At 44.9% G+C, this 15,835-nt stretch overlaps 1 protein-coding gene across 3 annotated transcripts in view; it reads right to left on the bottom strand.

The window, feature by feature from the left end:
• Positions 1-15,835, bottom strand: part of TRRAP (transformation/transcription domain associated protein) — a 134,710-nt gene that overhangs the window by 86,680 nt on the left and 32,195 nt on the right. For all 3 annotated transcript variants that reach the window (NM_001375524.1, NM_001244580.2, NM_003496.4), the window contains exons 17-22: positions 15,291-15,485; positions 14,349-14,540; positions 10,674-10,839; positions 8,883-9,139; positions 4,609-4,809; positions 1,299-1,450 (exon numbers count right to left, since the gene is read on the bottom strand). In NM_001375524.1, coding sequence (NP_001362453.1) covers positions 1,299-1,450; positions 4,609-4,809; positions 8,883-9,139; positions 10,674-10,839; positions 14,349-14,540; positions 15,291-15,485 — 1,163 coding nt within the window. The remainder of the gene's footprint in view (positions 1-1,298; positions 1,451-4,608; positions 4,810-8,882; positions 9,140-10,673; positions 10,840-14,348; positions 14,541-15,290; positions 15,486-15,835) is intronic.

Raw genomic sequence — 15,835 nt, 5'->3', positions numbered from 1 at the left:
CAGATTTCTGTTTTTATCTGAAAACATCTTTATTTCATCCTTATTCATGGGTCATACTGCACCAGATATATGACTCTAAGTTGGCAATTCTTTTTTCAAACTAAAGGTTTATTCCACAGTTCAGTGGCTTTCACAGCTTCCAAGTGATCATTCATTTGAATGTCATCTTTTTGTTCTGCCATCTTTTAAGATTTTCCCTTTGTTTCTGATTTGTAGTTGTTTCACTATAGTTTGTCTCTGTGGATTTCTTTTTATTTATCCTGCTTTGGATTCACTCAACATCTCGGATCTGCACACTGTTTAATTTTTTCATCAGTTCTGGGAAATTCTCAGTCATTATGTCTCTCTGCTCTTTTTGAGGGGTTAAAAGTAAATGATGCTACTTCCCTCTACTCTTCATGTCTCTTACTCTCTCTTGAATTTTCCATCTTTTCTCTCTCTGCATGTGTTCTGGATAAGTATTCGACAACTTCTTAAAGGTTCTCTCTAAGTTTTTGGGCAATTTTTATAGGTTTCTGTTTCTTGGAGGTATTTTCCAGTTTGTCTTTCATTAATTTAAACATTCTAAGCATAGTTACAACCTAGTTCTGATAATCCTAACACCTGAAGCCTGTGTGGGTCTATTTCTGCCTTCCATTGATTCTGCTGGCTCTTACTCATGTTGCTTTACTTCCTTGTGCATTTGGTTACCTTGACTCCTCTCTCTTCAATGTCCTTTAAACAACTGAGCACCTACTATATACTCAGCATCACTTCTGATGCAGTGAAGAATGTGAAAATATATAGGAAAAATCCATCCCCTGAAACTTACAATGCAGAAAAATGGTATGTGTGTGTTACCTCAAAAGATCATTACATTAAGGTCATGCACAGTCTCAAGAGGTAAGAGCAAGATACAGACATCACATGAGAAATATCTGGAGAAAGATCACTGTGAAATGAAAATGCAGAGGGTCCACTGCATGCCTTTCAGGCGCCAGCTGCTGTGGACAGAATGGTGAGACAAAGGGAGGGAGAAGGGACATGACCCTTGATTTCTTCACACTTACAAACTAATGGAGGAGGTGACAAGACACAATAAAGGCAGGCGACAACTGTGATCCCTTCTAATTCTCAAGCACCCAGTTCTCCTTTCCATTTTCTCTAAGGCCCCAACAAGAAGGAGTAGGTAGATAATATGGCATCTGCTGGACTTCAAGGAGCCTGCTCCTAGCACCAGGAAACCTGGGAGGCCCTCTGCAGCCCCAATTCCTAAAACAGGATCCACCCAACCACACAGAAGGAAGTGGCCGACATACTTGGGGTGTGCCAGGAGCTGGTAGAGTGCGTGCTTGTTGTCCTCCAGGCTCATCATGGCCACCAGGAAGCATTTGATCACTTCCCACGCCTGCCTCCGGTAGTAGGGCTCAGTGTTGGCGCTTTTCAGGCAGTCCAGAGCAGTTTCAATGGCCTACAACCAAGACACAAAGAAACTACAGTTTGTGCTGAAATTACATGATTGTGAAAAGCTTTCACTGAAAGCATCTGCAGCACCCAGAAGAATCTTTTTTTTTTTTTGAGACGGAGTCTCGCTCTGTCGCCTGGGCTGGAGTGCAGTGGCGCGTATCTCAGGTCACTGCAAGCTCTGCCTCCCGGGTTCACGCCATTCTCCTGCTTCAGCCTCCCAAGTAGCTGGGACTACAGGTGCCCGCCACCACGCCCAGCTAAGTTTTTTGTATTTTTAGTAGAGTCGGGGTTTCACTGTGTTAGCCAGGATGGTCTCGATCTCCTGACCTCGTGATCTGCCCGCCTCGGCCTCCCAAAGTGCTGGGATAACAGGCATGAGCCACCGCGCCCAGCCACACCCAGAAGAACCTTTTTTTTTTTTTTTTTTGAGACGGAGTCTTGCTCTGTCGCCCAGGCTGGAGTGCAGTGGTGCCATCTCCGCTCACTGCAAGCTCTGCCTCCCGGGTTCACGCCATTCTCCTGCCTCAGCCTCCCGAGTAGCTGGGACCACAGGTGCCAGCCACCACACCCGGCTAATTTTTTTTGTATTTTTAGTAGAGACGGGGTTTCACTGTGTTAGCCAGGATGGTCTCAATCACCCAGAAGAATCTTAATGCACATTTCTAGACAGGCGCCTTAACCAACTAAGCCACGGCACCAGTCTCATGCATATTTTCTTTTGAAGAGAGCACAGTGGGTACACACTTTACAGCTTTAATACAATACAGCTTTAATACAGCTTTAATAGGTATTCACCTGGTGAAGCTTCCAAAAGAGGCGGTGGAAGTATTACAAAACAAGGAATTGCACAGTTCAAATTAAAATGCCAAGATGGAGTTTAACAATTTCATGTTCAAATAGCCAATGGCAGATTACAGGAACTAAGTGAGCTCGGAGAGCCTCTTGTGGAAGATTTGCTGGGTTAAACCAGATTCTGCCTCACCTACATGCTCTTCAAGATCCTAACAAGAATAATAATGAACTTTCTGCAAAGCAGACTTTCCTGTGCCTAGGTTCAAAACTGAAAGATGGCTTTCTTAAGCTTTTACTAAACTCATTCTTTAAGAAAGAAAAAGGTTGACATCATTTTTTTCAGAAAGCCTACATAGCTACATGCACACATTTTTATTCTATTCATTCTCATGGGGTTGACTGAGATAGTGGCGAAGACACAACCACACACAAAAGTAATCTGAAGCCTTTAACAGCCAAGACATTCACCTTAACAATAATTATGTACATATAAATCAAATAACTAATCTTTGTTAAAAATTTACCCAGGCCCTGTGTGAGGAACCAGGAGAGGGTGATGACAGGGACAGAGGCCCTCCCCACCAGCCCCTGCCAGGCTTAGAGACACGCAGTGCACACAAGCATGACAACAGCTCCTCCCCGGATGAACCCCAGCTTGAGTGTCCGTGCTCTTCGAGGGTATTGCGGAACTGCATGTGATCTGATCAGTAGCAGTTGTAAATGGTGGTACTTTCTAAAATTTTATTTTTCAGAATCAATATAACATATGAGCCAATTACCTGCCAAAAAGAATCAAGGACTGCCAAGTGTGCCAAAAGCAGAATGGTTTAATGGAAACTCACTGGCACTTGGCTTAGCCACGCTCATCTTTCCCTTTACCTCATGGGCTCCTTAGCTATGAGCTATACCAGGTGTGCTGCAGCCAGTGCCGGCAGGATGGCGTCCTGCTCAGAAAGAATGCCTTGACAGGCACCATGGTGAGCCTCTGTAAGGGGGCCCAGACCTTTACGATCCTACCTCTGCAAAACCTGATTTCTTCCAGACTTCAGCTGCTTTGGGGCAAAACTACTTCTAAAGGGAATTTTTTGGGGGTGGGGGGAGCTTTTTGTCTATACAGAGTCAAATAAAATACGCAAAAGACAGAATTTTAGCCATCCAATTCTCTTAGGAGAGTAGCATTCATTTGGAAAGTATGTGGATGAAGGTTTGGGTTAGAAGCTGAGACTGCACCCACCCTGAGGCTGGAGAGGGAACAGTGCTTCATAAGGCAGGAGTTGGGGAGGGCTGGGGATGAGGCATAGGCTTGAGGAAGTTGCGGGGGACAGGCTGACTGAGATGATGACAGAAAACAACTCCAGAGTGACGCTTATCTGTACCAGCTTCTCCCTCCCCAATGTTTACTTATGGACACAGAAGCCACTACATGGGCACACGTCTTCTACAAAGGTAAACACACCCAGTACTACACAATGATGCAACAGGGCAGGGAGGAGTTAGCCAGAGCAAAGGGAGGGCCTGGAGCAGTTCCAGGCCACACGATGCTGGCTGAAGATCAGATCTGCAAGAGGCTCAGGACCCCAGCAGGCAGCCAGCTTACTGAAATGCCCAACTCACGTGGATCCGCTCAAACATTACGATAATATCCTTAAAAAAATACCCAATACACAACAGCTAGATGATGTCCTGCAAAGACATGGAAACAAATGCTGCCACCATGTGGGGAAGGACTGGTGACAGAGTCAGAGGGAAAAGCCAACGTGACGATGGAATGATGCTGACACAGAACTAGGACAGGGAGCAGAAAAGTCAGCAGGGCAGGGAGGAGAGACGGTGGGTGTTCAACACAGACAGGGCAAAGGCAGCAGGCAGGACACTCCAGCAGGGTGCGGGGGCACTGTCTGCTTTTTACACAGTAAAAACGAGGATCTCTAAAGGGCCTAACAGAGACCCAGGAGCTGTTGGCAGTGGGATGAGAGCCAGGAATGAGACAGTGCGAGCTGCGTTTGGATAGAGAATGGGAGAAAGCGAGGCACTGCGTGTGGCTGCGAAGACAGACAGGCATGGACTCAACTCAGGTTCTCAGTAAGCCTGCCAGGCATCAGAATGGAAGGAGTTCACGGCGGGATGGGCTGGCATCTCCTCTTGGTCACCAGGAGAGGGGGCTGCTCCAGAGTACCAAGTTCTCAGGTGACACCCCTCCACTGGTCTCCTGGCATTAGGAAAGCCCCTGTGCCAACCAGGCCGATCACCTGATACAACTGGTTCTACTCAGAGATTGCCTAAGACACAGGTCTAATTAACATTTCACATAGACTGAAACATAGTATCTTCACAAGGCTTAAAACGAAACGACATTGTCACAGAGCTTACCTTCTCCATGGGGAGCTGGAGAGAAGCTTTGCAGTCGGAAAACTCCACAGTGATGCTGGGGCCCTGAACCTCGGTCACAACGTAGTGCAGCTTCTGCGACTCCTTCAGCATCTTCCTGTTACTGCCGCCAAACTTACCGAGCACACGGTAGGCCACGTGGGAGATGCTGTCAGCAGGGTTGCGTAAGGTGCGCCACAGAGCCTGAAAATCAGCGTGCTTTCATTAAGGTCCTCTTAAGGTAATGCCTTCACGAGGTTCGGATCAAAACTCAAAAGGGAGGCCAGGCGTAGTGGCTCATGCCTGTAATCCCAGAACTTTGGGAGGCTAAGGCGGGTAGATCACCTGACGTCAGGAGTTCAAGACCAGCCTGGTCAACAGGGCAAAACCCCACCTCTACTAAATATACAAAAATTAGCCAGGCGTGGTGGCAGGCTGTTGTAATCCCAGCTATTTGGGATGCTGAGGTGGGAGAATCACTTGAACCCAGAAGGCGAAGGTTGTAGTGAGCTGAGATCACACCACTGCACTCCAGCCCGGGTGACAAGGGCGAGACTCCATGTCAAAAAAAACCCTCAAAGTGATGGAACACTGCTTGGCAACAATCCTTCCTCCCACCTCTGTTACCCAAACACACCGTTCTCCCTTCTTTGGAGAAACCAATGTTATTAGTCTTGCATGTTCTTCCAAGGAAGTTTTATGTCTTTATAAAGAAAGTACCTGTGTAAACATAAATGTTCATCCATGCTCCTGGAATATAAATAGCAGCATATTATAAGTGCTGCAGAGCTCCAAAACAAGAAAACTAAGCAGTATCTTGTTTAGGCACATGCTGCTCACGCCTGTAATCCCAGCACTTTGGGAGGCTGAGGTGGGCGGATCACCTGAAGTCGGTAGTTCGAGACCAGCCTGACCAACATGGAGTAACCCCATCTACTAAAAACACAAAATTAGCTGGGCGTGGTGGCACATGCCTGTAATCCCAGCTACTGGGGAGGCTGAGGCAGAAGAATCACTTGAACCCAGGAGGCGGAGGTTTTGGTGAGCCAAGATTGCGCCACTGCACTCCAGCCTGGGCAACAAGAGCGAAACTTCATCTCAAAAAAAAAAATGGGTGGGGAGGAGCACGCAGGTGGATGCGACTTAGCAGTGAGGTTCCAGTCCTGGGTGGGATGGCAACTTCTCAGGTTTTTAAGTCTATTTATTAGGCTTTATAACTTACAAACATGACATAAATTGTCTCATACACTTCAAATCTTACATTAGAAAGGGTGGCAAAGGAAAAACACAGATCACGAAGGCACCTCCATTACAGGACTATGGAAAAGAATTAAGTTAATGTGGACTCCGCATTTAAGAAATATCCGCACTCAACTGTCGCAAAAAACTGTAAATTTCCCCCCATTTTTTGTCTGAATTATCAGAGGTCCTAAAAATTACTACAGGTCACTATGTAAGTCTATTTTCTTTTCTTTTTTTTTTTTTTGGAGACGGAGTCTCGCTCTGTCAACCAGGCTGGAGTGCAGTGGTGCAATCTCGGCTCACTGCAACCACTACTTCCCAGGTCCAAGCAAGCAATCCTCCCACCTCAGCCTCCTGAGCAGCTAAGATTACAGGCATGCACCACCATGCCCAGCTAATTTTTTTTAGTGCAGATAGGGTTTCACCTTGTTGGCCAGGCTGGTCTTGAACTCCTCACCTCCAGTGATCCACCCGCCTCAGCCTCCCAAAGTGCTGGGATTACAGGCGTGAGCCACCGCACCCGGCCATAAATCTATTTTCTTAAATCACCTTCCATTTAACAATGCCAAATATTCATGTCTAGCAATACTCCTTAACATAAAATCTTGGTACTTTTCTCTAAACCAAGCAAAATTCCAATTTCTCTTACGTTCCCGTAGATTCAAACAGGCTTCTTAATAATTGTCAGAAAAGTAGTCTAAGACCTCTCACCTCATCTACCCTCCACCAGGCCCACCCAACCCTTGGGTGTCCTCAGGAGGGGGCAGCCCTGGGAACAAGCATGCCCTCCTGCTGTGCTCGCATGGCCTTAGCTGGTTGATGGGACTGGGAGAGGCTGACCCTGTGCCATTCATCTGGAGGCCTGTGGTGGTTCCTGTGGCCTTGAGCCTGTGTGTGTCTCTTTTGGGCTATCTGCCTCATGGATGGTAAGAAGGCCTAAGAACCACCTCCTCCTCCTCTCCCACAAGCTGCTCATGCACCCTGGGTCAGCCGCAGGGTTTGCCTTGTAGAACCAATACTACTGTTCTAAAGGCAGGCTCTCATCAATCCTCCAGGTGACCAGCAGGGACTCTGACCCACGGCCTATGCCATCTTTATCTTTTGGTTTTTTTTGAAACAGGGTCTTGTTCTGTCACTCAGCTTGCAGTGCAGTGGTTCAATCATGTCTCACTGTAGCCTCAACCTCTTGAGTTCAACGGATTCTTCCACCTCAAACTCGTGAGTAGCTGGGACTACAGGCATGTACCACCACATCCAGCTAATTTTCTGTATTTTTAGTAGAGATGGGATTTCACCATGTTGCCTAGGCTGATCTGGAACTCCTAGGCTCAAGCAATGCTCCTGCCTCGGCCTCCCAAAGTGCTGGGATTACAGGTGTGAGCCACCACACCTGGCCCCTACGCCATCTTCTTCCAGCCTAGATGAAGCCCAAGATCTAAATCTCAGGACAGGGAGGGAAAATATCCCAACCTCAAACTCAGTCCTAGCTGCAGTCTCCAATCTAATTTGAACAGAGACTCCTAGGAGTAACTGAGCCTCCATCATCTAAAGCTCATACTCTGACTCCTATCTGGGGCCAACTACCTGCTATTAAAGGGGCAGATGCTTTGAGACACACACCCTAACCCTCCAACAATTACCAACCAGATCACAAATCAGTAACAACAGCAAAATATGTAGGAAAAACTAACTTTAACATATCAACCTTTTTTTCTTTTTTTTTTTTTTTTGAGACAGTTTAAGCGATTCTCCTGCTCAGCCTCCTGAGTAGCTGGGATTACAGGGGGCTTGCTACCATGCCTGGCTAATTTTTGTATTTTTAGTAGAGACAGGGTTTCGCCATGTTGGCCAGGCTGGTTTCAAACTCCAGGACTCAAGTGATCTGCCTGTCTCAGCCTCCCATAGTGCTGGGATTACAGGCGTGAGCCACAGTGCCTGGCCAACATATGAACTTTAATAAACAAATATACAAGTGTTTTCAAAACAACCTCCTTTATTATCTGCTTCTTTTTCCCTTTGGGTAGGGTGGAGCAAACACCTATATCTTTCCTTTAGAGTCAATATCCCTTTACTATGCAACTGAAGATCTTTCCTGGATAGAGAGGTTCTCACTGGAAGCAATGGTGGCCGTATAGTAACCATAACACCTGCCTTAATCAGTCATCAACTTATTAAGAATATAACCCTCGCCAGGCACGGTGACTCGCGGCTGTAATCCCAGCACTTTGGGAGGCTGAGGTGGGCGGATCATGAGGTCAGGAGTTTGAGACCAGCCTGGCCAATATGGTGAAACCCCATCTCTACTAAAATACAAAAATTAGCCAGGCATGGTGGTACGCGTCTGTAGTCCCAGCTACTCAGGAGGCTGAGACAGAAGAATTGCTTGAACCCGGGAGGCGGAGGTTGCAGTGAGCCGAGATCGCGCCTCTGCACTCCAGCCTGGGAGACAGAGCAAGACTCTATCACAAAAAAAAAAAAAAAAAAAAAGAATATAACCCTCGTGAAGGCTCTCTGAAAAACAGGCAAGGCTGCAAAATAATGTCCATTCAGTACCAACAGTATTTCTTTACACATTTCCTCTTTTTTTTTTTTTTGAGACAGGGTCTGATTTTGTCACCCAGGCTGGAGTACAGCAGTGTGATCATGCCTCGCTGCAGCCTCAACCTCCCTGGGCTCAGGTGATCCCCCTGCCTCAGCCTCAAGTAGCTGGGATTACAGGTGTCGGCCACCATGCTTGGCTAATTTTTGTATTTTTTGTAGAGATGGGTTTTCACCATGTTGCCCAGGCTGGTCTCCAACTCCTGGGCTCAAGTGATCCACCCTCCTCGGCCTCCCAAAGTGCTGGGATCACAGTCAGGAGACACCGTGCCCGGCCTTCTTTACATATTTCAATCCACCAGAAGACTCACGAAGATGAATTAAACAGAGAGCTGCACTGGTCCATCTTGCAGAGCCCACTCTTGAGTACAGAGAACCCAATGACGGCCCACTGCTTCCAGGGAAGCAGCCAGCTAACAACCTCACTAAAATCCTACCTGCATGAGCTCTGCGCGCACCGGCTGGATGTGGTCGTAGAGGAAGTCGGGCTGCAGGTTGTCCACACACAGCTCCAGCGTCCTGAGGCCTTGGCTGACCAATGTCTGAGACCCATTGAGTGCAGACACCAAGGGATCCATAAGCATGGGCAGGTACGGCAAAAGCGAGCTCAGCCGCACAGGGACGGTGAGACACAGCTCCACAAAGAGGTCCTTCATGTGCTGCTTGTGCAGGCCACTCTGAAGCATGTTCAGCCCTAGGGAAGGGGGTGCAGCTATCAGAGAGGGAAGACGCTCCCCAGACTCGGGCCCAGGTGAAACACACAAAAGAACTGCCCCTCCTTCTCTTGTGCACATCAGCACAACTGCAGGGAGACCTCTGTGCCCTTAGACTCCACCCTGTTACATCTGTCCAATAATTGCACTCATGACCCCTTCTGAGTGGTAACAGTAGGCCGTATGTAACTGTTATAAATTATAATTTAAATTATAATCATAGTACTATATCCTTTTAATATCATAAATTATTTTTTAATTATGTTGTACTATCAGACTTTAGTAAACCACAGTTGAGGTCTATTCTCTAAACAGTTTTTAAAACTAATTTTTTTGTATTATAAATGGCGAGGAGCCTCTTTCTGATAAAGTCCCCCTCCCCACCACTCACGAGGACAGTTAAGGATTTACTGACCCCATTCCTGAGACAGTGCCACTGAGAGCTGAGGCTGGCTAGAAAGAGAAAGGCGTGTGGCAGTGGACCCAAGAAAAGGCACGTCCTGCACGGCACAGGAAGGCAGGATGAAGGACGAGAACTCAGGGAGAAGAGAAGCCATCAGGGATGGCCTCACGGGGCAGCAGAACCAGGTCCCAAATCCAAAGGATGAGGAGGATAGAGGAGGGCAAGGGGCTGAGTTCCCAGCACAGGGTCAGCTTGAATGAGACCGGGAGGGAGGAACACCCCTTGGGGGACAGCTGAGAGCCCAGGAAATCAGACTGTGTGAACAGGGGCTCCAGCAGGGATTAACTAGAGACAGGGTTAAATCCGGACATGGAGCCAGGTTATGGTCCACTCCCATGGCAGATTCATCACCATTTCAGTCAACAGTAAAGGATGTCCCTGCTGCCTCCTGGGTAGCCTATGTCACTTCTCTAAGGAAGTTAAGGAAATACATGAGAAGGGTCAATCCCTTGCCAAGAGCTCACCATACCAAGAAGTGTAATGAATTCCTGGGACAGTGTTTCCAATCAGCACACACCCCAAAAGCATTCAATGAACCCAGATCCCTGTTAACTATGTACCTTGAGAGCATTCCTAATTATACAGGAATTACAGGATTCTGGCTATGTAAATCAGAAGCTAAATGAAAATATAAACTAACTGTAAGTCAACTCTGTCTCAACTTTGTCACCTGCTTTTTCTTTTTTTGTTCTGATTCTCTTTCAGTCTAGGGATCTCTGATCTTACTAAACCACTAGAAATCATTTTCTAGACTTGCTTACCAAACACTATAAAAATGCAACCAAGCCCTAGCCAGGACAACTAACACCTAAATCCCATTCAATGCTGAGGAGGGAGGGGAAGGGCCCATCCCTGAAGGCAGCGCCCTTCAAAGTCCCAGTAGATGACCAGGGCCAGGGGAGGGGGGCAGGGGGGCGGCGGATGTGCCACATCCCATCCCACCAACCATGACACTCACCAGTTACAGAGGATGAAACCCAGCAATCAGGATGGCTAGACACATGACTACATGACACACAAGACTAAAAGGCAACCAAAGTCACTGCTCTGACCTTGCAGGAGGTTTGGAAGGAGAGGCAAGAACTCCTGATACAAGAGATCGTGGCTACCTCCACCAATAGAGCGAAACAGCGCCCGTAGCAGCAAGAAGTAGTTGTAGGGTTCCTTGGCAGTCTGCGCGAGCTCCATAGAGCTGTTCACAATCTTGTGCAAGTGAGGCTGCGGGGTGGAGAAGACGCAGATTAGTGGCATCTAAATGAGGAGGGTCTATACCCTCCAGACTCTAAAGTGTCACTGTAATCCGACAGCAATGGAAGGCAATTCTGATGTGTTTACTCCAAAGGGAAAAAACCAAACAAGCATATTCCAATCTTTATTTAACTCAAAATAGTTTATCTTAAAGTATATGTTGGTATCTGTAACAAATGAAATGCAAAAATAACCTACAGGGGCCAGGCAAGGTGGCTCCGGCCTGTAATCCCAGCACTTTGGGAGGCCAAGGCAGGCAGATTACCTCAGATTAGGAGTACGAGATCAGCCTGGCCAACATGGTGAAACCCCGTCTCTACTAAAAATACAAAATTAGCCAGCTGTGGTGGCACACGCTGGTAATCCCAGCTATTAGGGAGGCTGAGGCAAGAGAATTGCTTGAGCCCAGGAGGCAGAGGTTGCAGTGAGCCGAGATGGCACCATCACACTCCAGCCTGGACAACAAGAGTGAAATTCGGTCTCAAAAAAAAAAGTAACCTACAGGAACTGAAATTGTACTACCAATCAAATAAGATGTATGCAAAGTGTAAAAAAATCTCAAAAGACATTGAAGACTATAGCGTTTTGGAAGACTTAATTGGAAAATATTTTTGTATAAATCTTTCTTTTAAAAAAACCACTCTACTAGATCATACTAGCTTTAATCAAAATTTTAAACCATATTAACTTTTTATTTTGTTTTGTCAAATCCTGGTTTTGATATGTCACATGCTAAGTTTAACATGAAAATTTTTTGCATGTGTATTTAAATAATTATAAATTCTTGGTATAGTCACTGATATGGTTCCAAATTTATTATGGTATATGGCAGAATATATTTATTTATTTATTTTACAAAACTGTATGTATTATTCTGGACAAAAAGTTCTATGAAAATTGTTCCTTGAATACTTTTCTTAAACATTCCAACATTCTTTTTCTGTCTTTTTTTTTTTTTTTTTTTTTTTTTTTTTGAGACAGGGTCTCACTCTGTCTCCCAGGCTGGAGTATAGTCAGTGGCACAATCTTGGCTCACTGTGACCTCCGCCTCCCAGGTTCAAGCAATTCTCCTGTCTCAGCCTCCTGAGTAGCTGAGATTACAGGCATGAGCCACCATGCCCAGCCACATTCCAACATTCGATTTGTCCCGATAGGTTTTATTCTGGGCTTTTTTGCTGTTGTTCTGCATAGTCATATCTAATGCTGGCAAAAAAATGAATTATTTGAGGATAATGAATTATATGAGGACACAGATTATAATTATTTTATATCTTTAAATTTAAAAATAAGTATTTTCCCTTCTGTTTTGGAGACAGGATCTCACTCGGTCACCTAAGCTGAAGTGCACTGCAGCCTCAACCTCCTGGCTCATTCAAACGATCCTCTCTCTTCGGCTTCCTGAGTAGCTGGGACTACAGGTGCACACCACCACATCCAGCTAATTTTTTTTTAAATTATTTTGTAGAGATAGGGTCTCACTATGCTGCCCAGGCTGGTCTTGAACTCTTGGGCTCAAGCAATCCTCCTGCCTCAGCCTCCGGAAGTGCTAGAATTATAAGATTATAGGTGTAAGCTACCACGCCTGACTAGTACTCTCCTATATTAACACAAAAGTTAAGGTTGTTGATAAGTAATTACTATAGAACTGTGAAAAGAAAACAAGGAAAGCACAGGTTACTGGAGCTCTGTGTCACCATCTGTGCAATTACTCCAAATGCACACATCTTATTTACATCTTCAGATTTTCCCAAGAAAGCATCTCTTTTGACATATTCAATTTTCTATAGAAATTAAGATATTTTGCCACAAGAGGGAGTGCATTTTTATAAGGTTTTTATTCTACCACCTGCTGCTTTTAGTAATATAACTATGGATGGGTTTTACCCATTTGCTAGACTCAAATAACAGATGAGATCCAATTACATAGGATTAGTCATCCATAAAAATGTATGATGGGACATCTTCTCTAAGATGTTCTTAATAAAGAAGCACAGACTGATCAGAATTTTTTATTTAAAGGGGAAAAAGAAAGAAATAGTCCTGAAATGTGTCATTTACATATTGCCAAGACTGTTAACACAGAGAAAACACAAAACCTGAGTGAAGGCCAGGTGCAGTGGCTCACACCTGTAATCCCAGCACTTTGAGAGGCCAAGGCAGACGATCACCTGAGGTCAGGAGTTTGAGACCAGCTTGGCCAACATGGTGAAACCCCATCTCCACTAAAAATACAAAAATTAGCCAAACGTGGTGGCATGCACCTATAATCCCAGTTACTGGCGAAGCTGAGGCAGGAGAATTGCTTGACCCGGGAGGCAGAGGTTGCAGTGAGCCAAGATCACTCCACTGCACTCCAGCCTGGGTGACAGACTCAAAAAAAAAACCCAAAAAAACAAAAAAAGCAAAAACAAAACCTGAGTGAAGTGGACAACTGTTGATGTAACTGTAACCGCAGAACCAGTTCAAACTGGTTCAGCTTCGTCTGAGTTGATTTCAGTTGCAACAGACCCCAAGACTGCAAGTAGCAAACATGCGCAGGTGAACAAGGCACACGGGATTAGTGACTCTGGGGCGGGCTGGAAGGAAAAGTTAACCACAGATGGAACCCAAGTACCTGGACCAAGCAACGAGGACCAAATTAAGAACAAGGGAGCCCTGTTTTGTTGCAATAGGAACTTAAGAGCAAAAGACCCAGCACTGCCTCACTGCAGAGCTCAATCAAATCATGCCTCACTGCATTTTTCCGTCTCCCTCACAGTTACTCTTCCTATAAAACCCACCACAAGACCCCAGCTCTGGGAGAACGGAGTCTCCTGTCTCCTTGTCAAACAACCTTGCAATAAAGATGTTTTTTTTTCCCTGAAAAGCTGGTACCATTGTATTGGCTTCAGTGTGCATCCAGGAGTGAGACCACTGCTTGGTAACAATCGGCACTGTCACACCATATTTGAGAGGTAGGTGAAGACATTTTTTTCCTTCTAATAAGTTCGTTTGCATCACTGAAATTTTTAAAAATAGAACCATCTGCTCCTATTTGTGTAATCCAAAAAAAGAAAATAGGTTTAAAAAAGAAAATCAGTGGTGTCAATACTAATACCACCACACTTGCTTACCGTAAGAGTTCTGGATTTTTCATTTTAAGTTACTAGATAGACAAATTAGTTACTGCTTAGACATACACGGAATGATTTTCACACTTGGCCCTTATTTGTTGCAAATATTTACTACTTCGAAGAGTACTTTATAAATATAAAGAGTCACTATAGTTTGTTTAAAAGTGAAAATAAGAATTAAAAAAAAAAAAAGCCAGGCACACTCACAGTGGTGAGTGCCTATAGTCCCAAAAACTGGGGAGATCAAGGCAGGTGGATTGCTTGAGTCCAGAACGCTGACCAGCCTGGACACCACCGTGAGGCCCTGTCTCTAACAACAATAAAAAACCCTGAACAGAAGCACTACTTAGATTAAATGGACTTTACCTTCAGCATTTGTTCATTTTCAGCTGCAAAGAGGGAGACAGAGCCAAAGACCAGCTTGAACAGCTTGAGGTACAGGTTGGAGAGCTCCACGTTGGAGCCCATTTCTGGCAGGCGATCAAGGAGATATTCCACCAGAATCGTAGCAAACAGAGCAGAGGTAGTAGGATTTGCCAAGAAGGAATTGGCAACAATCTGTCAATACAAGAAACACATGTGAAAAATTAATCCCTTCCCCAAAGCAGTTTTAAGACAAAGTAGTAAGCTTTCAAAAAACATAAAACCAAGCCTGTATCACACATTCCAAGAAATTTAATTATCCACCAAAGGAAAAAAATGAAACGGGTTTACTGAGCACTGAGCAGGGCAGTTCACTTCAATGATGTAATCTGTTATTTCATCCTCATCATCAAATACATTTAATGCATTTTTTTTTTTTTTTGAGATTTTGAGATGGGGGTCTCGCTCTGTCACCCAGGCTGGAGTGCAGCGGTGCGATCTCAGCTCACTGCAGCCTCAACCTCCTGGGCTCAAACAATCCTCCTGCCTCAACCTCCCAAGTAACTAAGACTACAGGTGTGTGCCACCACACCCAGCTAATTTTTGTATTTTTTGTAGAGATGGGTTTCACCATTGTTGCCCAGGCTGATCTCAAACTCCTGGGCTCAAGCAATCCCCGGCCTCCTAAAGTGCTGGGATTACAGGCATGAGCCATTGCACCTGGCCCACATATTTATTTCTACTAACGAAAGGAACTGATCCAAAGCATTTGAATCTTTTAAGAATTGTTTCAAGACATTATGGCCTAATATTTCTTTAAATTTTGAGCTATAAGCACATCCTTGGCTACATTATTTTTAAAATCCTTGAAATAAATGAAAAAGTATTTAAGACATAAACAAAGAATTGTAATGTTCAAACAACATAAAAAAAGGAGTTTTATACCTGAAGAGCATAATTTTTTGAGATTCTCTCCACCATATAAGGGACCGTAGTTTGGAAGATTTCTTTGAACGTTAAGGGGTTCATCATTGTGAACACACCAGCGAAATGCTCCAATACCTCCTTCTCCTCTTTCATTCTCACAGTCTGGCAGTTGGCCACACGGATGTATGTCTGTCCATTTCCTGCTATCTGGACCTAATACAGGGGAAAAAAGCCGCCCACAGGCATTAAAACTGAACCTCTCTGAATATGTTCCATTATGTAACCAGATCAGCTGCATACTTAAAATAGAGCACTTAAATTAGATAACAAATGTCCCCCTCCAAAACCTTTTAAATTCTCCTTTCTCACCTTAATTTTGGCAAAGAATTAAAAAAAAAAAACCTCTAGGTGTTCAGACCATGAAAAAAATTATTAAACTTAAGTCTTATATTTTTATTGCATTCCGTTTACACTATCTGCCCCTCAAAAATGCACAGACTCTTATAAATAAGAATTCCCACATAAACGCAGTGCTATGTTGTGGAACAAAACACATCTGGGTA

Source organism: Homo sapiens, chromosome 7 (assembly GCF_000001405.40).
Source record: "Homo sapiens chromosome 7, GRCh38.p14 Primary Assembly".
NCBI lineage: Eukaryota > Metazoa > Chordata > Mammalia > Primates > Hominidae > Homo > Homo sapiens.
The sequence above is the reverse complement of the archived record's forward strand: the minus strand, read 5'-3'. Positions and strand labels throughout refer to the sequence as shown.